This window comes from Homo sapiens, chromosome 8 (assembly GCF_000001405.40).
Source record: "Homo sapiens chromosome 8, GRCh38.p14 Primary Assembly".
NCBI classification, from domain to species: domain Eukaryota; kingdom Metazoa; phylum Chordata; class Mammalia; order Primates; family Hominidae; genus Homo; species Homo sapiens.
In genome coordinates, this window is record NC_000008.11 from 141,329,107 (window position 1) to 141,353,520 (window position 24,414).

The window sequence follows — 24,414 nt, forward strand, 5'->3', positions numbered from 1 at the left end:
ACTAGGTGGGGACATATTCCACGCTTACCGTACAACTCAATTCGGACTGGCTGCACCTCATGTACTCAGAAGACAGGCTGCAGTCTTGTATGACATCTTGGATGAGACTCAGGCCGCAGTCTTGGATGACACATACGTGGACATCGGGCTGTGGTGGCCGGAGTAGAGTCAGAGAGGCTGGAAGGAGGCCCTTTTCCAGGGCAGGAATGATGGTGCCTGGCCTGGAGCTGTGGTGGGGTTCCTGGCCCTCCATTCAGCTGCCAGCCCATCCCAGCTTGCACCGGAGGGAAGCAGCGGGCCTGGGCTCTGCGGCATCCCAGGGGGGCAGGTCACAGGGCAGCTACCCTACCCCAGCCTCCTCCCTGACCCCGCCGGTGTCTGCCCAGACAGCCGGCATCCCCATCCCGCTGGGCTGGCTCCCGGCCCTGCCCTACCCCCAACTCCAGACTCATGTCAGGCTTCCTGTCCCAGCCGGAGGGTGACCCGAGGCCTGACCCCAGAGGCCCAGGCGATGGGCCCGGAAGGAAGGCCGCCTCCTTGATGCAGCCACAGCAGGCGGGGCTGGGGCTTCCCCATGGACTCCCTCGGGAAGCACTTCACACTTTGGTGGGCGCTCAGCCAGGGCGGCCCCCAGCAGCGGCAGGAGGCGAGGGCCTCTGGGGCAGGGAGGACATGCACCTGCGCCTGGGCCTGTGAGGGGCTCCCCCACCACAGCGTGGGGTCTCTGGGCATGCCAGGGTTGCCCCCACTAGACAGCCAGGGTTCTCAGGGAACACAGAGCAGGCAAGCAGGCCGGCTTCTGCTTCAGCCTCAGCCCCTGTCCGCACCTGGGGCAGCACAGGACAGGTTTAGGAACAGACCCTAGCTGCACGCCTGGTGAGGACCTTCACCTCTGGGCCTCCCGCTGCTCCTCTGTGAAAATGGAGGTATCGGGGTGTTCGTCCCTTCTAGGGCCAGAGAGAGATGGCAGCGAATGCACGTGGTCCCTAAAGGAGAGCCGTCCGTGGCCACGTAGGAAAGTGTCAGGCCCAGCTCCTCATTCCTGGGATGTGGCCTTTTCTCACCTGCGCTGAACTCTGCTCTCAGGACTCAAACCCTGAGCTGCTGTGGAGGCTAACTCACTCATGCTCCAGGCCCATCTTCTGAATAAGTTTCCCAGACCCTCCAACCTGCCCTCCGTGTCGGCCCTGGGGTGCCTGCCTCTCCTTCCCTCTTCCTCTTCTTCTCACAAATATGGGCCGAGCTCATGTGATACGTCAGGCACTATGCTAGGACGTGGGGGTCCAGCTGGAAGGGACAGGACAGAACCCTGCCCTCCTGGAGCTGGCAGTCTGTAGCAGACACTAATCAGTTAAACAGATCACAAACTGTGACTGTCTCCAGCAGAGACACCTGGTTGGCCTTGGGGGAGCACATAGCAGATGGATGGGGGTCCCTGCCCAGGGCTGCCGGCAGGCGGTGCACCTTGCACTGCTCACTTAGTCCCACAGCCTCGCTTGCCCGCAGGCAGTGTGTCCTCTGCACACTTTCAGGGCTCCGTCCTTCTGCCCAGCGCCTCTGCAGGCTACGCCTTCTGTGCTGGGCCTCTGGGCATAGTTACTAGGCAGCCAGGGCTGGGGCCAGCCCTTGGCCTTAGCTCAGCTCCAGGGAGGATCAAGAGGGTGTCCAGTGTGGCCGTACACCTGGGCACCTGCTTCAGAATCCAGGTCCTTGGGAAACAAGTGGCTTTGGTCTTGCCAATGCCTTTGCTCTGTTTTCAGCTGGGAATTAAGCTGGGGAACAGCAGGAGGGGCAGCATTTGCTGGCCCTGGTGCAGGAGGTTGTGGGTGAGAAGAGCCGAGTTCAGGTCCCCACCTGGGCAGCCTGTGGTGTGAGCTAGAGGTGCAGAAGCCTGCGGGGACACGGAGGGCAGCCGGGCAGGAGCCTGCGGGGACACGGAGGGCAGCCAGGCAGGAGGCTGCGGGGACGTGGAGGGCAGCCGGGCAGGAGCCTGCAGGGATGCGGAGGGCAGCAGGGCAGGCTGGGCTTTCTCCAGTGCTTGCTCCCCTCCCAAGGGAGTTCCTAATTTGGGTCCCCCTGCTCTTCCTTGGTTGAGTGGGCCCCACGCACTTGGCTATGATCCAGCAGACTCCTGCGTCCTGGTGTGTCCCTGCCCCACCTTCCCACTGCCCTCGGCCTCTCTCCCAGCCCCTGGGAGCTGGGTTTTTTGCTTCCAATTTCAAATACATCAGACTCCATCCCACTGTCCTATCCCAAGGTGTCTTTTGCCTTTCTGGGAAAATAAAGTGGCAGGGGAGTGAACCCACCGCAATGGGACAGCCCTCCTCCTGTCCTCCGCGGGAGCAGCATCTCGCAGGGGCTCCGCCAAGCCTTCGAGGCCCAGCCAAAGCTGGGGTGGGGGCACTGGCCGGAAGCTTAGGGGAGGGGGAGCCTGCAGGACTTCACTCCTGTGCCCGTGTGGCCGGGGGTACCTGCTTGACCTCTGAGCTGTCACCGGGAATAGTGTCCAGCCTGCCTGCCTGCTGGGACCTCTGCAGAGACCATGAGCTCAGTCCTCAGGGCCTAGGTCCTGGGTTAACACTGAGGGCTGTGCGGCCAAGGACCCCGGGGTGGGCATGACCGGGGTGTGTGGAGGAAGGAAGGGGGTCTGGGAAAGGATGCAGACAAGAGGTGGGTGCTGGGCCAGCACCTGCTTCTGTTCTTGGCCTCAGGACCGTCTATGGAATTGGGAGTAATTCTCTGCAACATGGGCCCTGCAGCCGAGGTCTGGGCAGAGGCGTCAGGGCACAGAGCAGTGGTACCACCATGCCAGGGAGATGCTCAGGCCAGGACCAAGCAGAAAGGGGAGCTCACCATAAACTCCCTGGGGGGAGGGGAGCGCTTTACCCCCACAAGAATGGGCAGCAACAGGTCATCTATCCTCAGGGCCCATAACCCCTTCACCTGCTTCCTGGTGACCTGCTGCCGGGAAGGGCCCTGGGCCTCAGGGCCTTTGTGGGGCTTCCTGTACCCCCCTGAATGCTGTCACTGTGCCTGAAACCTCACCAGTGGGGCCTCATTTCTTTGGTCCTATAACACTCCTTGATTTTCCAGCGTTAAGCACACAGTCATGAGCTGTTGCCTGAAGCTGACACTTACTGAGGGTGTTCTGTGCAGCAGGCTTTGTCCTGAGCCTTTTGATTTTTTTTTTTACATGTCTTGTTTATGCAGGATAAATCCCAGTAACCCATTTGCAGAAAAGGAAGCAGCAGCTCAGAGAGGTTAGGTAGGTTGCCTAAGGTCACCCAACTTGTGGCAGAAGCAGGATGGAGCCCTGCCTATGTGATGATGGGGCCAGGAGCACCCTGATCATCTTTAGAGCCCACCCCTAACCCAGGTGGGGGCAGCAGGTCCCTGTAAGCATGCTGGATGAAACCAGGCGGCTGACAGAACGGGAGGGAGGCTGCCCTTGGGCTTCCGCATTTCTGGATTCGAGCTCTGCTCAGTCACAATGGGCTGTGTGCCCTTGAGCAAGTTACTTCACCTCTCTGAGCCTCAGTGTCCTCTTATCAAATGGGATACTAAGATATAATTCAAAAATATGTTCTTGAGAATTCAATGGGAAGATCCTGCCGGAGTCTGGAGCCTGTCTATTTAGTTTGACAATAAATAATTGGGCTAGTATTTACACTGATCTCTAGTAAGGGGGGCACAGAGCAGGGAAGGGTGTGCCGGGAGGGCTGAAGTGTGCCCCTGGGCATCGGGGCGACTGTGCCAGCACCCGCCTCTAGGTTTACAGCCCTTCCTGAGAACTAGAAAAATCCCCTCCTCTGAGCAGATGCCATCCTTGGACTCATGGGCTTGGCACCTGGTTTGGCCCCACAGAAGAGACTCCTACCCAGTTCTCTTTTCTAGCCCAGAAGAATGGCATTTCTGGACCATCTGGAACATCTGGATCATCTCCCCTGCTGATGCACAAACAGCCAGGCCTCCGGAGAAGGGGGGTGGGACAGGGTGTTGCAGGCAGAGGGAACGGCCCCTGCAAAGGATCATCAGGGAGACTGAGCAGGTCAGGATGGCTGCCGGAACAAGCAGCGTCTCAGTGGACCTGTGGAGGGCAGGGGATGAGCAGGTGAAGGAGGAGATGGGTGGAGAGCGTGTACCTGGGGCAGGCCTGGAGGCGGGAGGGAGGGGCTGGAGCCAGAGAAAGGGGCGGCTGGTGGAGGGAGGTGAGGCTGGAGGGGCTGGGCCTGGTACTTTGGATGAAGCCAGGTCACTGCAAAGATGAAATGTGATAGCACTGGGCAAAGGAAGCAAAGCCCATCACCATGAGACCAGCTCCCAATCCTTCCCTGGAATTCATTTAGGAAAAGATCTAGAGAAGTCAAGGTGGGGCCCGGAGGGGATGGGATCAGGGTCCGTGGGAAGCAAGTTCATGTCTTTGCACCGAGGATGGACAGGAGTGTGGAGTGTGGGAGGGAAGAGGAGGAGGAAGCAGCCGAGGGGAGCTGGAGGGGAGGGGTGAGAGGAGGGGCTGGAGGAAAGCCTGGGGTTGTGTGCAGGGACCCACAGAGGACTCAGGTGAGTGAGACCGCAGGCAGGCCGTGAACAGCCCCAATCCCACGACAGAGGCAGCCAAACCCTTTCCCAAAGATGTTTTATAGAGACCTGGCGGGGCAGGGGGGGACTTTGGTCTTTTTCAGACACAGAAGTTCCTTCTGTGACTGAGGGTAAGTGTCTTAGCCTCCTGCCTCAGTTTCCTCATTGCATAACAGGACTGTTTCAGTGTCCACACTCAGAGTGTGAGGGCTAGATGAGGAAATGCACGTGCAGTAGGATGCCACCTGTCTTTGGAATGTCTGCATGTCAGGTGCCCCAGCCCTCAGGATCCAGGACAGGTCTGGCTGCGGTGGGTGCTGGATGGATGCTGAGGAGGGGAGGGACAGTCACTGCATACCAGCCTCTGCCAAAATGGGGAGCCCAGGGGCAGGAGTAGACAGGAAGGACTTCCTGGAGGAGGAGGGCTGGCAGTTTGGGAAGATTTAGATGGGGAGAAAGTGGGGCAAGGGCATGGGGGTGGGAAGTCTGGGAAAAGATGTCCTGGCAGGGTGGAGGGGAACGGAAGTTACGATGGTAGTGGGGAAAAGCATCTGCCCAGGAGCCAATGGTGCAAACACAGTGTGTGTGTGTGTGTGTGTATGCACACCCGTGTGCACAAGCACCTCCACCGCTTTCCCAGCCTCCTAGCCAGAGCCCTGGGGCTCAGCTCAGGCCCTTACCCCCAGCCCCACCCGACCACAGGCTTCACAACCAGAGGCCAAGACCCCGGCAAATGCACATCCCCTCGTCCCTCTCTGTCCCAGCCCCACTGCTCTCCCAGAGCCTGCTGCCATCCCCTCTCTGTCCTCCAGGCCTTGGGTCCTCCACACCCTCCTGCTGCCACCTGGATGCCCCAACCTCCCGTGGACTGTTGGGGTCTCCCAGGGGCCCCCGCACTTCTGTCTGTATGGCTCTTGTCCACTCTGCCCGGCTGACACCTCCGGCCACCCGAGACTGCTCGAATGCCCAGCACCCCACACAGCTGGCACCTCCTCTGCAGACCGCAGCCTGGGAGAGAGGGGAACCCACGGGCCTGTGAGTCTTTCAGATCCTGGTAAACAGTAGGAGCACGGGAAATATTCTGGAGAGAAATCGCCGCCCTCAGCTCCAGTCCCTTGTTCCAGCCTCCTGCTGGGTGCCCGGGGGGAGCGGACGTGATGCAGCTCTCCACCCAGTACCTGGTACCCAGCTCCGTGCGGAGCACGGGGGCCAGCCCTGAGGACTCCTACTGACCTGCAGGTTCGCGGTCCAGAGACGGGGCAGCTCACAGGCAGGGGACGCAGCTCTGACATCCTCAGGTGTTGGAGCTGGGGCCAGGAGGTCATGGAGCTGCAATCCCAACTCAAGGACTGGTTGAGCACTGGCACTGCCCAATAAAGGCCCCTGGTTGAGACTGTGGGTAGGGCCAGGGCTCAACGTGTATCAGGAGTGACCAGGGCCAGGGCTCAGATTGTGTTGAGGCCAGGGCTCAACGTGTATCAGGAGTGACCAGGGCCAGGGCTCAGATTGTGTTGAGGCCAGGGCTCAACGTGTATCAGGAGTGACCAGGGCCAGGGCTCAGATTGTGTTGAGGCCAGGGCTCAACGTGTATCAGGAGTGACCAGGGCCAGGGCTCAGATTGTGTTGAGGCCAGGGCTCAACGTGTATCAGGAGTGACCAGGGCCAGGGCTCAGATTGTGTTGAGGCCAGGGCTCAACGTGTATCAGGAGTGACCAGGGCCAGGGCTCAGATTGTGTTGAGGCCAGGGCTCAACGTGTATCAGGAGTGACCAGGGCCAGGGCTCAGATTGTGTTGAGGCCAGGGCTCAATGTGTATCAGGAGTGACCAGGGCCAGGGCTCAGATTGTGTTGAGGCCAGGGCTCAACGTGTATCAGGAGTGACCAGGGCCAGGGCTCAGATTGTGTTGAGGCCAGGGCTCAACGTGTATCAGGAGTGACCAGGGCCAGGGCTCAGATTGTGTTGAGGCCAGGGCTCAACGTGTATCAGGAGTGACCAGGGCCAGGGCTCAGATTGTGTTGAGGCCAGGGCTCAACGTGTATCAGGAGTGACCAGGGCCAGGGCTCAGATTGTGTTGAGGCCAGGGCTCAACGTGTATCAGGAGTGACCAGGGCCAGGGCTCAGATTGTGATTGAGGCCAGGGCTCAACGTGTATCAGGAGTGACCAGGGCCAGGGCTCAGATTGTGATTGAGGTCAGGGCTCAATGTGTATCAGGAGTGACCAGGGTCAGGGCTCAGGAGGTAAGGGAGCTCAGGGTGCTCTCTGAAGTTAGGCCTCTTAGTGACCATCTTCAGCTGGATCTTGCTGGACCAGAAGCCAGAGCTTTGACCCCACAGGTGTGCCCTACCTGGGCCCTGGAGGGGCAGGTCAGTCTTTCTTGAGTGCCATCCTTTCACCCATGTTTTAAGCCTCCTGTTGACAAGGATCTGGACACAGGATTACATTCCAAGTCCTTGCTCAAAGCCTGAGCCGTCTCCACCCCATCAGCCACGTTGGTTGTGTCCCTGACCCGGACCCGGCCTCCCCTGCAGACCCTCGGGGCTCCCTCCCTAATCCCACCCTTCTGCACGCACCTGGGCCAGGACATGGGCAGTCACAGCTGACAGATTGTTTAGGGGATCAGGAAGCCGGTGGGTGTGCAGCAGATGCCTGTGTGGACATGCACACATGCACACTCATGCCCGCTTCCAGGCAGGAAGACCGGAGGCTGCACGTGGGCAGCGGCGGGTGGTGGTAGTCCTTGACCAGGGTGTGAGTCCAGTTTGTCTTCAACCTGGTGCTGGGAAGTGGGGTTGGGGAGGGTGTGAGGCATCCTGGGGTCCTTGGTGGGTTAGACTCCTGAAACCCAGCAGGTTTCTTGTGTCTCTGAGCCTCAGTTTCCCCTTCCCATAGCTTGGGAAGAAGAGACTGGCATCTCCCCAGGGTTCCTATGTGGGTGACACAGATCAACGTGTCAATGGTTTCCTCACTGTCCCTATCTGACCGCATGGCCCTGCCTGTCTCTCCTCCTCCCTGGAGCCCATGTTTGGGACTTCCACATTTGGTCCCTGAGCCTTCATGGAGTAGCTCCTCTGTGGGGAACCCTGGACCAGGTGCAGCAGGGAGTCGGGAGAGAGCAGATGGACTCCCTGCACTGATGGGGCTCACGGGGCCCTGGGAGAGAGTATCAACTTGGATGGTGACGATCCAGCAGGGCCACAGCTGAATGGAGGTGAGGACGAGGGCCCACGGGGCTTGGGGCACAGTGGCTGCCTCTGCTCAGAGACAGCTTCCCAGACCACACGGCGGCCCAGCTGTGTGTGGGAGGCATAGGAGCTCTCCTGAGGAAAGGCATGGGAAACAGAGGGAATAGCAAGTGCGAAGACCTGGTATGGAAGTAAGAAGTGACCGGAGTGTTGCTTGGGGGTGGTGAGCAGGAGGCAATGCATCAGGCAGGCGGAACCCTGCCCCTCCCAGGCTGACCCCAGCCAGACGGGGAAGGACCTGGGTCCCTGCTGTGGGTGGTGAGTCCCATACATGTCCCTGCCCACCCTGTCATCCTGCAGGGAGCAAACTGATCCCAGAGGGGGTGCCCAGCCCACGCCGTGCAGCACCGCAGGGGGAACCCAGCGTGATAGAGAGCAGTGTCTTAGACCTGGCTCCAGCGCCGAGGCTGCGGCCCAATCGAGGCCGGGTCCTTCCCCTCGAGACTTCAGCCTCGGCTCTCCTGGACTTCAGGGTGACATCACCAGGGTGTTGGGGGTCTTCTGTGATCCTCCTACGAATACTTCTTTTTTTTTCTTTTTAGAGACAGGATCTTGCTCTGTTGCCCAGGCTGGAGTGCGGTGGCATGATCACAGCTCACTGCTGCCTCAACATCCTGGGCTCCAGCAATCCTCCCGCCTCAGCCTGCTGAGTAGCTGGTACTACAGGGGTGTACCACTAGGCCTGGCTAATTTTTAAAAATTATTTATAGAGACAAAGTCTCCTATGTTGCCCAGGTTGGTCTTGAACTCCTAGGCTCAAGCAATCGTCCCGCCTCAGGCCCCTGAGTAGCTGGGTCTATGGGTGGGCACCACTATGCCTGGCTAATTTATTTACTTATTTTTGTAGAGACGGGGTCTCACTATGTTTCTCAGGCTAATCTTGAACTCCTGGGCTCAAGTGATCTGCCTGCCTCAGCCTCCCAAAGCACTGGGATTACATGTGTCAACCACCGTGCCCTACCCACTTCTGTTTTATTATTGTTATTATTATTTAAGATGGGATCTCGCTGTGTCACCCAGGCTGGAGTGCAGTGGCACGATCTCAGCTCACTGCAACCTCCACCTCCCAGGTTCAAGAGATTCTCCTGCCTCAGCCTCCTGAGTAGCTGGGACTACAGGTGTGCGCCTCCACGCCCAGCTAATTTTTTGTATTTTTAGTAGAGACAGGGTTTCACCATGTTGGCCAGGCTGGTTTTGAACTCCTGACCTTGAGTGATCCGCCCACCGTGGCCTCCCAAAGTGCTAGAATTACAGGCATGAGCCACCGTGCCTAGCCTGTTTTTTTTTTATTATTTTTAAAATTTTATTTATTTATTTATCGAGACAGGGTCTTGCTCTGTCGCCCAGGCTGGAGTGCAGTGGTGCAATCTCAGCCCACTGCAACCTCTGCCTCCTGGGTTCAAGCAATTCTCCAGCCTCAGCCTCCCAAATAGCTGGGATTACAGGTGCCGGCCACCACGCCCGGCTAATTTTTGTATTTTTAGTAGAGACAGGGTTTCACTATGTTGGCCAGGCTGGTCTTGAACTCCTGACCTCAAGTGATCTGCCCGCCTTGGCTTCCCAAAGTGCTGGGGTTACAGGTGTGAGCCACTCCTGGCCTCACTTCTATTTTTCAAACCGAGGGTGATGCTTAACCCAAGAGTAGGTGCTGTCAGGCCGAAACATCTGTTCTGGTCCTTGGCTGGCTTTCCCAAGGCCCTGAGTGTCCTAGGGCCTTGTGACTTCCTCTGTGAACTGGAAAACAGCCCCCAACTCCAGTCCCTGCCTGGCTAGGCTTGCCTGAGCAGAGCAGAGGTGAGAGGCAGGAAAGATCCAGCAGCCTCAGAGCTGTGAACGGTGCCAGCCCCGTGATTGACATGTCAGCCGCACTAATAGTATCGCTTCATCTCTCCAGACTCTCCCTTTCCCGGTTTGTCCACTGTTCTGTTTGGAAATAAGGTTGTGCCCTTAGTCATACCTTGATAAGAAGGGAGACGCCCCTGCCTGCCCTCTCTCTTCTGTTCCACCTCCTCTGCCGAACGTTCAGGAGCTCCTCATTCAAAAGACCGTCAGATGAAATGTTTGCTAGAGATAACACTGTGAAGCATTTAGAAACACCTTGCACCAGCCTACTTCTTAAATACTTGTTAAAAACGAGATCACACCCCAAATAGAGTTTCATAGAATATACCTTTTTTATTTTTCATTATTTTTTGAGATGGAGTCTCACTCTGTTGCCCAAGCTGGAGTGCAGTGGCGCAATCTCAGCTCACTGCAACCTCTGCCTCCAGATTTCAAGTGATTCTCCTGCCTCAGCCTCCCAAGTAGCTGGAATTACACGCATGTGCCACCACACCTGGCTAATTTTTGTATTTTTAGTAAAGACATGTTTTCACCATGTTGGTCAGGCTGGTCTTGAACTCCTGACCTCAAGTGATCTGCCCACCTTGGCCTCCCAAAGTGCTAGGATTACAAGCATGAGCCACCGTGCCTGGCCTCTTTTTTAAATCCAGTTTTTATTCAGCAGAATGTTCCGAAAGATCCAGAGGGTAACATGTGGGCAAAGTCCCTGAGCCCTGGCTGGGGTGGCCTGGGTGGGGTTGCCTTCCTCCGACACCCAACTCATGTGGGCCCTGGGCGCCCAGCACCGGGTTCCTTCCCCCCAAACCCATCTCATCTGGACTCTGGGCACCCAGCGCCGGGTTCCTTCCCCCAGGCCTTGAGCCTGGCTTTGCAGCTCCTGCTGCCCCAGGGCAGGTGGTGGTGGCCGCCCAGCCCTCACCCAGCCCCGAGTCCTGTGTGGAAGGCGATTCCTCCCACTTTACCGGGGAGGACACAGAGGCTGAGCGTGGTCACGGCCGGAGCCCCAGCGCAGCATCTGAGCTGCAGGCTGGCCGCCCCCCACCCCGCTGCACCCCCATATTCCACTCACAGACCTTCTTCCTGCTGAACACAGCTGGGCCCTGACGCCTCTGTGCCTTGGCCACAAGGCACCTTCTGCTCACTCAGCTGTCCCTCCAGTCCCCGTAGGGCTGCAGACCCAGGCCCACCCAGTCACAGGCCTGGCAGCGAGGGGGAACAAAAGGGTCAAGGGGCCGCCCAGGGCTGGGAAGGGCCTTGCTCCACCTCGCTCTCCTCCATTCCCCGTGTGGGCCTCCGTCTCCCATTCTGTGAAATGACCCGTTTGGGCCACAGGGTCCCCAAGTCCTCTTGGCTTGGGGCCGTCTGTTCCAAGAGGAGGGGCCATATTGGTCCTTGAGGCCCCTGCGGCCCAGTAAGTCTGCAGTGAGGCCTCCCTGGACGTATATATCAACAAAAAGTCAAACTCCGTAAAGTGTTTGAGACATTTATTCTGAGCCAAAGATGAATGGCCGGGGGCCCATGACAGCCCCAGGAGACCCTCAGACCATGTGTTCAAGGTGGTCGGGCCACAGCTAGGTTTCATACATTTTAGGGGGACACAAGGCATCAATCAATACACATAAGCTGTACATTGGTTACGCCTAGAAAGGCGGAACCACCGGAAGCGGGGATGCTTCCAGGTCATAGGTGGATTCGAAGATTTTCTGATTGGCCGTTGGTTGAAAGAGTTATTGTCGGTAGATAGGAATGTCTGGGTTAAGATAATGGGTTGTGCAGACCGAGGTTTCATCATGCAGATGAAGCCTCCAGGCAGCAGACTGCAGAGAGAATGGATGGGAGATGTTTATTATCAGACTGAAAGACTGTTCTGCCAGTCATTCCAAAAGGGAGGGGGGATAACAAGGTATGTCCGTCTCCCGCTTCCCACCGTGGCCTGAACTCGCTTTTCAGGTTCACTTTGGAATGTCCTTAGCCAAGACGAGGGTCCGTTCGTTTGGCTGGGGGTCTTAGGATTGATTTTCTGGTTTCCATATGCAATGGGAGTGGGGGAGAGATGGGGTGGGGGCAGCCTGAGGCTCAGCCCTGGCCAAGGAAGCCCCCTCCAGGCATTGGCCAGGTTCTGACTCCTACAGTGTTACAGCCGGCAGGGAACTTGGACCCACAAGCTCCTCCCCTCCCCAAGCCTCAGTTTCCTTGTTTGTAAGATGATGCCTGGGGTCCTTGCTTCCTTGTAGGGCTCAAACAAGATCCCAGGCTCTATTAGGAACAGTGCCAAGGCAGGGGGCCCCCAACAGCTCAAGCAGGCTGGAGTTTGGTGCTCACGGAGTAGGGGAAGCTGGTGGCTTCTCAGGCTCATGACATTGTCCCTGCAGGGTGCAGGGCTATTCCCTGGTGGGGCTGGGGGTGTGTGTGGCCATTGGCAGGAGCCCCGATGTTCTCATCCATGAGTCAGCAGAGATGGGAACATCAATTTATTTGAGTGGCTGGTGCAGCCGAGTCCTTGGAGGACAAGGAGTTTTTGCCAAGCCTGGGCCGAATGTGCCAGGGCTTGGGGCAGGGAAACTGTGTCCAGGGACACAGCTTCAAGGGCCCCTGGTTGATGTCCCCAGGGCCTGCTGAGTGCCAGGCCCTGGGACTCAGAGAGGACACCACCCGATGCAGGCCCTGGGACTCAGAGAGGACACCACCGGATGGAGCTGCCCAAAGGGAGTGCCAGTCGGATGTGGGGGTGGGGGAAGAGGAGGGACCAGGATGTGACGGGTCCGAGGTCTCACGGGGTGCCCAGGTGGGCTGGATTTACAGAGCATGGGCGGCCTGCAGGACCATGAAGGGGCAATGGGGGCAGAAGACAGAGGTTGGAGGCAGGGTGGCATGGAGGGTCTCGGGGCAGGGGCAGGAGGGTCTCCAGGGTGGTCAGTCTGCTGCAGTCAGCAGAGGGCACTGGAGGGGCCTGGGCTCAGGCTCCAGGTAGAGCTGACCTAGCCCAGAATGGGCAGGTGAGGGAAGGCCACCGCCTGGTGGGCTTGGCTGTCCCCTCACCTGGACCCCATCGCCGGCCTCTTCCTTGCACGGGGTAGATGCTCATTGATGTGGTGACGTCTAGCAGGAGGATGGCCCTGGGCAGGGCTGTGAGCTGGGAGACCTGGGCTGGGATCTCAGCTTTGGGCCCACACACTGGGATGGAGGAGTGTTTACTGCTGTCTCTGAATGGCTGCAGGAAGGCTGAGGGGGCACATGGTTGATGGGCCAGGCCACTCTGGGCACAGTTGCTGAGAGTCGGCTCTTCCTAAGTGGGGGCACCCGGGGTGGTGGAAGGGAGTCAGATGCCAATTCCCAATGGGTCCTGGTGGTCGTGCCCTGCTGCAGGGCCTTGGCACCCGCCGCCATAGCCATGGAGTCCAGGGGGGCCCCCAGGGGCTGGAAAGGCAGGGAAACAGATTCTCCTTGGGAGCCTCCAAGGAAGCCAGCCCTGGCTAGCACGTCTGTGCTCTGTCTCTGGCTTTGCCTGTTCTGGACATCTCTGGAGGTGTGAGCACCATGTGGCCTTTCGTGTCTGGCTTCTTTCACTTAGCACGGTGGCTTCAGGTCCCTCCGCATTATCGCATGTGCCAGTGCTTTGCTCCTTTTTACACCTGAGTAATCGTCCACTGTGGAGTCATCCTTTCAGCTGCTGAGAGATGCGTGGGCAGTTTCCACCTGCAGCCATCGTGAGTAGTCGGGTGAGGCTGCTGAAGCAGACGAGTGAGGGCACTGCCCGGGCCATTTGGGCTGGAGCGGGGGTTTGAACTCCTCTTTGTGGGACGGAGGCTGTGTTCTTGCCCACACCTCTCCCTGCTCCAGGCCTGTCTTCCCCTTGGGACTGGGACTATGACTTGGTGGCTTCAGCCTCCGCAGGGTGAGCCTGATCCTGAGAGTCAGGCTGGGCTGAGGAGGACGGGTGGGCCTCCTGGGGGAGGTGACGACTTCGGACTGGACCTTGCAGGAGGGATGGGCTGTCTGAGGATGGGAGATGGGAGGAGGTATTGCAGGTTGGGCAGCAGGTGAGGCTGAGCTGGGAAGGGAGGTGGTTGAGGCTGGTTCTTGGGCTGAGTGCTGGGGAGGGGTCGGCCGGGGATCACCGAGAGGTCCCTCCAGGCTGCATGAGCAGAGGAGACACCCTACGGGTGATCTTCTTGCCTTTGTTTCTAGAATTCACAAATCCTACAATTCTAAGCTCTCAGAACCCTTGGATCTGAAGGTTCTCAAATGCTAAGGTTTCTAGATGTTAGCAGACGAAGGTGTCAAGACGCATGGGATCTACGATGCAGAGTTCTGAGTGGGGATATGCGTCCCCCACCCCGACTCACCCCACGACACATATCAGTAACAGCCTCTGCAACTCCGCCTTGGTGCCCCCGCACGTTCCAGGGGCAGCCACACTGATGGATTGCTCAGAACGGGCTGGAGGTGAGATGTGTTTGCCCGGAGCCCCCACACACTGTCGTCTCCAGCTGTGCCTGTCCCTCCCCACCTTCCACTCTGTGTCTCTTCCCTGCCCCCCTTGTGCCCCAGCCCCAGCCCCCCCTGTTCTTTCCTGCCACCCAATCCTGTGCCCCACGACAAGGAGGCTGAGCCCAGGGATGGCCAGGAAGGAACCCCCGGCAGGCTCTCAGGGTGGGAGAGAGGTTGTGGGGATCAGGGGCTTTGCAGAAGGGACAGGGAGGCAGCCCAGAGCACCCCAGCTTCTTGGCCAGCAGCAGGTAACCTGGCTGGAGGGCGGGGCCCCCATGGGCCATCCCTGGGCCAGCTGCCCAGGGCTACCAGGAAGGCAGCTTGTTTTGTAGGAGGTCAGGCAGCGCCCTAACCCCACCTCTTGTCTTCCCTGATGTCACACCCCAGGGTCAGCCCCTTGGGCCAGAATGGGGGTGATGGTGGGAACCGGGAAGCTGAGAGAACAGGGAGGAGGCCGGGTGGGGCACACCAGGCTGTGGCTGTGGGGATGGGGAGATTCCTCGCCTGGGCAGGCCGGGCAGCAGCGGGGCAGTCCTGGGGGGTGTGGTAAATGCTTCTGCTCTCTTCCCCTGACTACATGGGAGCCTCCGTCCCACCTCACCTGGAAAAGGGGCTTGGAACTGGGCTGCTCGGCCTTGGGCACACCAAACGGGGCCCTTGGAGCCCTGGGCTTCCTGGGGTGGCTGGGTCCCCACCCTGCCTCTGATCCATCCTGAGTCTGCATTTCTTCTCCAGGTGCCCCCTGCCCTTGGCCTCCCACCACGGCCTGGGAGTAGATAGTGGGCTGGGGCAGGCCCAGCGCTGTCCTCTGTGGGAAAGGAGGACTCTGGGCCTGGAAATAGTTGAGTGTGGACAGAAATAACCCTGACTGGCCTCAAAACAGAACATGGAAAATTAAATAGGGAACATTAGCATTCACCCCGCGCTTGCCACAGCCACTGTCCCATTTGGGAGGCGGGCGCGCTTATCCTCATTTAGAGACAGGGAAACTGCGGCCCAGAGAGGGGAGGTGACCTTCCTGAGGTTCCTCTGCCAGCCGGCCAGGCCCTGTGACCCCTGTGCCTCTGTGCTTCCACTACACAGCCGCATCTCCACTTCTGCCCCGACAGTTCCTGCTGCAGCAGATGCCCTTCCAGATGCAAACTCCTACGCATCCTTCAAAACCCAGCTAAATGTCACTTCCTCCGGAAAGCCTTCCCCACCTCTCTAGCAGGCAGTTGAGCCCAGCTTACATTTCCGACAGGCCCTCACTGCCCGGGATTGCAGCTGCGGGCTCCTTGAGGGCAGGGATTGTCCCTCATTCATCCTGATTCCATGCCAAGGCTTATAGTAGGTGCTCAATAAATGCTTGCTGAATGATAGATGGGCTGTGTGTGGTGCTAAGTTGAATGCCTTGTCCCTTTCCCACAATTTCATCTCAACCACCCAAGAATTTAGCGTGAGTATGGCTGTTTTACTAAGGAGCAAACAGGCTTACAGAGGTGAACTCACCTGCTCCAAGGTCACACAACAGTCAAGGGCTGGACCTGGGATTTGGTCCCAGCCCCGCAAACACAGCCCCACTACGTACCTAGCATGGGCTCAGGTAGGCCCTAGGGGTGGGCAGTGTATCTGACCACTCGTCCTGTCCACCTTCCCCTGCACCTGTGGCCCCACGGACCCCTGGGCTGGCTCTCAGGTGTGGCATCTCCACCTTCCCCCACAGGCCCAGAACCCACCCTGCTGGGCCAGCATCGTCTCCCAAGGGCTCCCACACAGACACAGTGGGAGCCCCTTCCCTCAGGCTGGCCCCCAACTTGTCCCCTTAGAGGGGTCGTTGGTAAGCACTGTGGCCTGAGGCTTCCTCTGTGAGAGACTTGTGGGGGTCATGCCACAGGGGAAGAGGGAAGTGAATGGATAGAAGGTTCTAGAACTATTAGCTATTGCAGGGACAAGATATGAAGAAAGGATTTCAAATCCTGGTTTAAAGAATCAGCCAGGCACAGTGGCTCATGCCTATAATTATAGCACTTTAGGAGGCTGAGGCAGGAGGATCCCTTGAACCCAGGAATTGGAGACCAGCCTGGGCAACATGTTGAGACCCCATTTCTACTAAAAGTAAAAAAAAAAAAAAAAAAAAAAAAAAAGATCTGACTATGGTTCCATGTGCCTGTAGTCCCAGCTACTGTGGGCATTGGGGTGAGGGTGGCTGTCGCTTGAGCCCAGGAGGTCAAGGCTGCAGTGAGCTGTGATTGCACCACTGCACTCCAGCCTGGGCGACAGAGCAAGACCCTGCCTCAAAACTAAAAACAAACAAAAAGAATCAAGGTTCTGGGGTTCTGGAGTTGTTTCCATCTTTCCGGCCTCCCGCAGTCCAGCAAAGGCCTATGGGTGAGGCAGAGCAAGTGCTGGAGAAGGTGGCAGCAGGTGGCCTGCGGGCCAGTGGACAGGAAGGAAGTGAGACAGCTGGCAGGCGACTCGGAGCCCGGGAGCGGGAGTGGGCTGGAAAGACCCCTGGCCTGGCCCTGCCTTGGCTCCCCAGAGGGTGTCAGGGCCCAGTGGCCACACTGCCCGCTCCCTGGGGCCCCCTGACAGGAGTTCCCACCGACCTCTCCAGGAATCTGGGGCCCGGGCCTTGTGCCCACCTGCCAGGCCAGTCCACCCTCAGCTGAACCACAGTGGGGCAGATGGATACACAGGCAGGGGCGTGGCCCAGCTGTCGGGCCAGGGTCTACTGGACACTGTCACTGTCTCCCTCTGTCCCTACAGGTGGGGCCTGTCCCCTCTGCCTGACCCAAGGGGCCAGAGACCGCCGAGTGACACACACCCAAGCACTCTCTCCCTTGCCACCGGCTTTGGGGCAGGTGCCAGTGATCTGGTTGGCAATGCTCAGGACTGCCTGTCAGGACATCTGAGCCCTCAGGCTGGTTTCTCACTCCTGCCCACACAGCGGTCTCGGCTGCCAGGCTGTGTGACTCGGGGTGGGGGGCTCTGACCTCTCTGGGCTCACAGGTGATGAATGAGGTTTTTAACCTGAGGACCATGGATGGCCGTGGGGGCTCTTGGCTCCCCCGACAAGTGCAAGTGCAGCCTGTCATCCAGAAGGAGAGGCAGCTCCCCAGCTGCCCCCTGACCCCTACACAGCTGCCCAGCCCCAGCCCCACTGCTCTTCGCTGGGGTGACTCCAGACAGGGCATTTTCTGTCTCCCTGCATGCTCCCCACCCATCTCTACAACAGGGAAAACAGTTTCGCTCTGCAAGGCAGCACACCACCTCGGGACCTGGAGAGAAGGCGAAGGTGAGGAGTGGGCTCTGCCCCGAGCTGTGTGCCCCGGGCAGAGTGAGGGCTCACTTCGCTGAGCCTCAGCCTCCTTCTGCTTGGGAGGAGGGCATTATAAGAACCCCTCCTGTCCGGGTATACAGAGGAGGGAGGAGCTAGCCTGCCTGTGCGTGGAGGGTGGAGGGTGGAGGGTGGAGGGCACTTGTACCCGACTCCATCTGCACTCCATCTGCAAGGCTGGCATGGGGCAGGCACACAGTGAAGACGCCCTCACTTGTCCCCAAGTTGGGAAGGCAAAGGAACCTGCAAGGCCACTCAGGTAAGGAGGAGTGCAGACATTCTCTCGAGGCTGTGACCCCTGAGCACAAGCCCTCCCCTAGGTGGGGAAAGAGACCTAGAGGGAGGGGCAGTCTGGAACGAGGTCCAGTCTGAGAACCTCTCCCAGGCCGGTCAGGAAGTCACAGATCCTCTGAGCATTCTTCCAGGATTGCTCAGCTCTGGGGACGACGCCTGGAGAGACAGGCGGCAGAGGAAGGTCGGAGGGTCCTGGTGCCTCTGCAGCAGCTCCCAGGCCAGCAGCGCCACCTGGTGGTCATATGCCCCAGGCACTTCAATCCTGCCGGCATTCCCAGCGGATCAGTGGAGGGGCTGGGGCCAGCTGGAGGGGCTCGCCCAGGCTGGGCTGGGGCCCAGAATGTGCCCCCTTAGCTCTGCCCACCCCTATGTGTGTGCAAGTTCCAGGGAAAGCCCAGAGAAAATAGGGTTGGCCCCAGGGGAATGAGCCCCATTGGAGGGGTCGGCCACTGTGATCATGGTGCATGGATGTAAGTGTGTGTATGGGGAGGCAGACGTTTTGTTGGGAGTGAGACCCTCAGTTATACCTGGCACAGGGTGGGTAGATAAACTGTTGATTGAATTAATGAATGAACGTGCTGGGGACTGTCCAGAGGACAGCCCTGCTCCTTTCATTAGCTCAGTTCAATCACTGATTGAGTGCCAAACACCATGGGAGGACACACACACACACACACACACACACACCAAAAGAAGAGACAGGGTTCACATACACACACACATACACATACTCACATACACACACATACAGACTCACATACACACACAGACTCACATACACACACACATACACATACATACACACACATACAGACTCACATACACACACACACAGACTCACATACACAGACACACACAGACTTACATACACACAGACACACACACACATACAGACTCACATATACACAGACTCACATACACAGAGACTCACATACACACAGACACACACACACTCAAATACACAGACTCACATACTCACAGACACACACAGACTCAAATACACACACAGACTCACATACACACACACTCATACACACACATACAGACTCACATACACATAGACACACACAGATTCACATACACACACAGACACACACACACAGACACACACAGACTCACACACACACACAGACTCACATACACACACATATACATACACACACAGACTCACATACACACACACACTCACATACACAGACACACACAGACTTACATACACACAGACACACACACATACAGACTCACATATACACAGACTCACATACACAGAGACTCACATACACACAGACACACACAGACTCAAATACACACACAGACTCACATACACACACACTCATACACACACATACAGACTCACATACACATAGACACACACAGATTCACATACACACACAGACACACACACAGACACACACAGACACACACAGACTCACACACACACACAGACTCATGTACACACAGACTCATGCACATATACATATACATAGGTACATACACACACTCACAAATGTAAATACATGTACACACACATATACAGACTCACATACACACATACACACATGTACGTATACATACAAACACAAACATACACACACGTGCATACACAGACACACACAGCGACTCACGTACACACACGTACGTACACACACGCACATACACACATCACATATACAATACATACACAGACTCACAAACACACACACAGACTCACATGCATATACACATACATACACATGCACATACATACACAATGTACACACAGACTCGCATACATATACACGTACATACACACAGATACGCAGACACATATACAACCATGCTCCACATAACATCGTTTCAGTCAGTGATGGGCTGCGTATATGACAGTGGTCCTGTCAGATTCCAAATAGCTGAAAAATGGCTGTTGCCCAGTGATGTCCCAGCCATCGTAACACTGTGGCACAGTGCGTTACCTTTTCTATGTGTGGATTTGTTTAGTTGCACACATACTTATCACCGTGTTACAGTCGCCCACAGGACTCAGTACAGTAACACGCGGTACAGGTTTGCAGCCTAGGAGCAAAGGCTACGGTGTAGAGCCGAGGGGTGCTGGAGGCCATTCCATCTGGGTTTGTGTAAGGACAGTCTGTGACGGTCCCCTAATGAGGAAATGGTCTAATGATGCATTTCTCAGAATGTGTCTTGTCAGTGAGTGACGCATGACTGTACATAGGTACATGGACACACACACTCACACATGCACACTGCTGCAGTTTGCACGGGTGCCCCTAGGTTCACATGTCAGAAACTCGATCACCAGTGTGACAGTGTTGGGATGAGGGGCCACTGGGAGGTGTTTGAGTCATGCGGGCACCACCCTCATGAATGGATTAATACGTTATCTCAGGAATGGTTCTTTTTCCCCCAAAGCAACAAAAGGTAAAAGCAGGGAATGGTTCATCATCCTGGGAGTGGGTTCCTTGGGAAAGGACAAGTTTGGCACACTCTCTGTCTCTGTCTGTCTCTCTATCTGTCTCGCCTTCACCACATGGGGCCCCTCCATCTTGGACTTCCCAGCCTCCAGAATTTGTTGAGCCAATTAATTCCTAGTCATTAGGAATTAGCCAGTTTGTGGTGTTCTGCACATGTGGTTATAGCAACAGAAAGTAGACTGAGACACACACACACACACACACACACACACACACACACATTCCTGCATGTACACATGAATGCCTGCGTACATGTAGACACACAGACACGCAGGCATGCATAACATGTGCCTACACACAGATCCACACACACTCACTTAATTCTCGCAACCTTGCCTTAAGGCAGAGGGTGTCCGCAATCTCCCCTTGACAGAGGAGGAAACTGAGGCTTAGGAAAGACACGTAACTTGCTGAGGGGCTAGTGTGATACAGGGGCCTGGCGGCTGGGCCATCCTGTTACCTGGGCTGTATTCTGGAGGGCCTGCTCTGGGTTGGGCTGTGGCAGCCTCTCTGTGATCTCCCGAGTTAGGGTTCTGGGAGCTCCCCAAAACCCTTCCATAGCTTTGTTCTGGAGAGGATGGTTGAGGTGGGGGATTCAGACTCCTGGACCTCAACCCTGCACCCCCACCAGGCCACTAAGAGGGGCACCCGTGGGGGTGAGTGGAGGACCCTGACCCCAGGCCACTGGTACCGCCTGGATGCCTGCAGTACACAGGGGATCCGATGTCCTTCAGCCCCCAGGCTGGCCCCGATGTGAAGTCTGATGGGTGTTGGGCCCCCGTGCTGCCCCCTTCCCCCACAGGTAGCTCATTTGCTGAGTTTCCAAGCAGAATAGTTTGTAAAATGTGCAATGCATTTGGGAGGGGATGAGCCTCTCATGGACAGTAGGGCAGGTACCAGGAGAGTGGTGGCCCCAGCCCTCCCAGTCCCCTGGGAGCCCCACCCAGGCACACCAGGTTCAGATGGTCAGTGCCTGTTCCCCCAGGAACTCTTGGTGGCTGAAGATGCCTGTGGACTCCCATTATGTAAAACACCGAGGATTCCCAAAACCCAGTGATGCTATAATGTCATTGAAATAGTGAGCACATAGATGATGTGGCATTTCCCGACTGGCCCTTGGGGTCAAGTGGTAGTCCGAAGGGCAGCTCTCACCGGGTGGTCAGACAGCACGCTGGACACCCAGGGGCCCCTCGATGCTGTGACACGCCAGGGAGGCACCCGGGTCCCTGATGTTCCAGTGCAGGACAAGTGACAGCCCACCTGGCCCACTCCTCCCCCCAGGTTCATGCCCCACCCCCACTCCATCTCAGCAGAGTGTCCCGAGGCCTCCCTGGGTTGTGGTGCCGGGCGAGTTCCCCTCTCTGTCCAGGACTCCCACGCTGGTGCCCTGGGAAGCTGGGGGGCTGTAGGAGAAGGACAGACTCAGAGCCTGGGGCTGGCTTATAAACACAAGAGCTTTTCCCACGTCAGCCCTTGGCGTCAACTTGTGAGGGCGTCCCCATGCAGGCGTGATAGGCAGAGGCTGTGCTGAGGGCCGGGGCAGCAGAGGAGGTGGGCAGGGCCCAGAGGCACTGGGTGGGTGCCTCGCACACCAGGGCTAGGGAACCATTTGTTCTAAGCTCTGGATTACAGATGGGGAAACTGAGGCCCAGAGAGGGGCAGGGACATGGCTGAGGTCTCGGGGGACCCCTGAGCAGCCAGGCCTCCGCTGCCTCCCTTGGGCGGGTGTGAGGGGCACCTGCGGTTTGGTGTTAGGCTCCCACCTACAGGGGCAAAGCCCAGGCTCAGAGGTGACCTGGAATCAGCGAATCAGGGGCCGAGCTGGACTAGGCAGGAGGGTGTGTGGTTGCAGCAGGTGAGCTCATCTGTAAAACGGGGGTGCGACACCCCTGGCCCTGCCAGCCTGTCCAGGTCTGCGCGGCACTTGGCGCTCCCAGCACCACACCCTCCAGGAGAGGCCCAGCTGGGAGTCATCTGGAAGAAGTCCCTCCTGGCCCAGGTGGGCAAAGAGAGGACCAGGAGGGAATGACGTCGAGCACCTCTTCCTCATTGGAGCCCTCCTGGGTGACCCCGTCCTGTGCCCAACACGTGACTGTTCTCCCTGGGGCTGGCCACGTGGGGGTAGGATCTGAGCACCCCTGCAGCTGAGCCACGAGAGCACAGGACTCCCCAGGGCTCTGCAGGGGGCCTGGCCTCAGCTCCAGCTGAGTTCTGGAGAGGTGCTGCAGGGGAGAGTTAGGTAGACACACCTGGAGGCCCAGAACTAGCCGAGGGATGGTGAAGGGGTCATCCGTGCTGAGTCCTTGAGGGCTCAGTGAGGCCGAGGAAAGGTGGGGCAGGGTCCAGTCTGGAGGGTGAGGCTGGGCCTTGTGGCCTGTCCTGGGGTGGGGGTGGGGAGGAATCAGTTTCAAGAGGCAGCCCCAGGAAGAGTAGGGGCAGAGGAGGGGGTGGGACTTGACAAGCGGAAGGCCCTGGCTGGGGCTGGGCACAGGCTGCTGGGCCAGTGGGGCGGGGGCCAGGAGTCATGGAGCAGGTGGTCCGAGGAGATGGGGTGAGGGACCATCCAGGGGGAGGGAATGGCAGGGGACAGGACTGGGAGCAGGAGAGTGTGGTCTCATGGGCGGAGCCACTTCCCCAGGCCTGTCCTGGCCCTCCAGCCGCAGCCCCTCCCCTCGGCCCCTCTATCTCCTCCCACCTTTCCTACTCACCCCTCCACTCCCTCCTGCACCTGGGCCCGCCCCTCCACAGCCAGAGACGTTCTGCAGACGCTGAGCTTGACTGCCCCCTCTCCCTGGCCCACAGCTTTCTGGTGGGGGGTCAGGATGTAGGGGGTGGCCTTGACCCTGGAGTCAGGCAGGGCTGGGAGGGGAATTCCAGCTCCTTTTTGAGGTGGCGCCTGGGAACGCTGGGTTGGTCCCATGATGTCTCTAAGCCTCAGTTTTCTCCGCTGTGAATTGGGTGCACAGACCCCTTCGGGTGGGGGCCCAGCTCTGGAGGGTGGGCGGATGTGGCCACGTGGGTCCCCTCTCATCCCGTGAGGGGTGGGGAGCACAGAGCGCTGGGCTGCAGAGGCCCTGAAGGAGAGAGGAGGGGCTGTGTGTGAAGAGGCAGGGAGGCTGGAGTCAGAACTGCTAAGCCAGGTGGCAAGCAGGGTGTGCGGGTGTGGAGATAGGGGGTGTCCAGCTCCAATAGGGCACACGGTGGGGGTCTCCAGCGCAGATAGTGCACCCCCACCCCGCTCCATGCCTTCAGGCCTCCAGGAAGCTGGGGCAGGCACCCAGGCGACATTTCCTGCTATTAATGGAGCTTTAATCTAAACAGGCCCTAATATTTACATCCAGACGCCTCCGGCTGCCGCGGGTGCCAGACTGTGGGAGTGATGAGCCCCCAGACAGCGCCTCCCCACCCAGAGCTCTGCTGGGCCAGACCAGAGACCGAGAACTGGGCACCTGGGGGCCCTGGTTTGAGCCCCCTCCCTGACCACCCCCAAAGCCTAAGTTTCTCCTCTAGGAATGGAGGTGGTCATCTCACCCTCCCAGGTTCAGTGAAGGGGCCACTCAGTGGCACTTAGTAGGCCCACAGGGAGGCCAGTGCTCCCTCTCCCTGGTGTGTTGGACCAGCTGTCCTATCCCCTCCCTCTCCCTCTAGGCCATATCTCTGCTGATATGATAGGACTCAGTGGCTGTGGGTGGTCTGGCTGCCTCGCCCACCTCCACGTCCTTGCCCTGGGTAGGCAGGTTCGGGATCAGGGATGGAGCGCCTTGTTCTGCTGGTCCATGCCCCCCACCCAGCTGCTGTGCCCACACCCTGCTGGCAAGTCAGCCACTTGTGCCCCCTCCATCCCCTGCCCATCAGAGCTGGGCAGGGCTCAAGGCCCCTAAATCTGCCTCCCAGCAGGGATGACAAAACCACAAAACCACTGCCGCTGCCTCCCTGTGGAGCCCTGCTGGTCCGCAGGACACAGAGTTGGGGCGTGCGTAGGGCTGCCACCCTGCTCCATACCCTCCGCCAGCTCCATGTCCCCCACCAGCCCAGGACCAGAGTCGTGGGCAAGAATAGAATAAACAGCTTTAATTCCAGACGAGGACATCTCGTGAAGGAGATTGTTTACGTCGGATATAAATACACACACCATTTCACGTCACTTGGGCGTTTTGAAAATCTGGAAAGGGAGAT

General features: G+C 58.0%; 1 long non-coding RNA gene across 1 annotated transcript, besides 7 other annotated features; it reads left to right on the forward strand.

Moving 5' to 3' along the window:
• Positions 1–537: an enhancer, noted in NCBI's record as "H3K4me1 hESC enhancer chr8:142339206-142339742 (GRCh37/hg19 assembly coordinates)". NCBI's record gives its function as "activates a minimal SCP1, AML or CMV promoter by ChIP-STARR-seq in primed H9 embryonic stem cells {active_cell/tissue: H9 hESC(primed)}" and the evidence as "EXISTENCE:reporter gene assay evidence [ECO:0000049][PMID:30033119]".
• Positions 538–1,072: an enhancer, noted in NCBI's record as "H3K4me1 hESC enhancer chr8:142339743-142340277 (GRCh37/hg19 assembly coordinates)". NCBI's record gives its function as "activates a minimal SCP1, AML or CMV promoter by ChIP-STARR-seq in primed H9 embryonic stem cells {active_cell/tissue: H9 hESC(primed)}" and the evidence as "EXISTENCE:reporter gene assay evidence [ECO:0000049][PMID:30033119]".
• Positions 6,406–6,905: an enhancer, noted in NCBI's record as "H3K4me1 hESC enhancer chr8:142345611-142346110 (GRCh37/hg19 assembly coordinates)". NCBI's record gives its function as "activates a minimal SCP1, AML or CMV promoter by ChIP-STARR-seq in naive H9 embryonic stem cells {active_cell/tissue: H9 hESC(naive)}" and the evidence as "EXISTENCE:reporter gene assay evidence [ECO:0000049][PMID:30033119]".
• Positions 9,624–9,918: a silencer, noted in NCBI's record as "tiled region #12881; HepG2 Repressive non-DNase unmatched - State 20:ReprD". NCBI's record gives its function as "represses a minimal TATA promoter and a strong SV40 promoter by Sharpr-MPRA in HepG2 cells {active_cell/tissue: HepG2}" and the evidence as "EXISTENCE:reporter gene assay evidence [ECO:0000049][PMID:27701403]".
• LINC01300 (long intergenic non-protein coding RNA 1300) lies at positions 11,443–15,515 on the forward strand. The gene is made up of 4 exons (NR_024441.1): positions 11,443–11,566; positions 13,235–13,370; positions 13,852–14,109; positions 15,238–15,515. It is a non-coding gene; the product is annotated as a long intergenic non-protein coding RNA 1300 (long non-coding RNA).
• Positions 13,067–13,567: an enhancer, noted in NCBI's record as "H3K4me1 hESC enhancer chr8:142352272-142352772 (GRCh37/hg19 assembly coordinates)". NCBI's record gives its function as "activates a minimal SCP1, AML or CMV promoter by ChIP-STARR-seq in primed H9 embryonic stem cells {active_cell/tissue: H9 hESC(primed)}" and the evidence as "EXISTENCE:reporter gene assay evidence [ECO:0000049][PMID:30033119]".
• Positions 16,741–17,361: an enhancer, noted in NCBI's record as "H3K4me1 hESC enhancer chr8:142355946-142356566 (GRCh37/hg19 assembly coordinates)". NCBI's record gives its function as "activates a minimal SCP1, AML or CMV promoter by ChIP-STARR-seq in primed H9 embryonic stem cells {active_cell/tissue: H9 hESC(primed)}" and the evidence as "EXISTENCE:reporter gene assay evidence [ECO:0000049][PMID:30033119]".
• Positions 22,655–23,634: an enhancer, noted in NCBI's record as "H3K27ac-H3K4me1 hESC enhancer chr8:142361861-142362840 (GRCh37/hg19 assembly coordinates)". NCBI's record gives its function as "activates a minimal SCP1, AML or CMV promoter by ChIP-STARR-seq in naive H9 embryonic stem cells {active_cell/tissue: H9 hESC(naive)}" and the evidence as "EXISTENCE:reporter gene assay evidence [ECO:0000049][PMID:30033119]".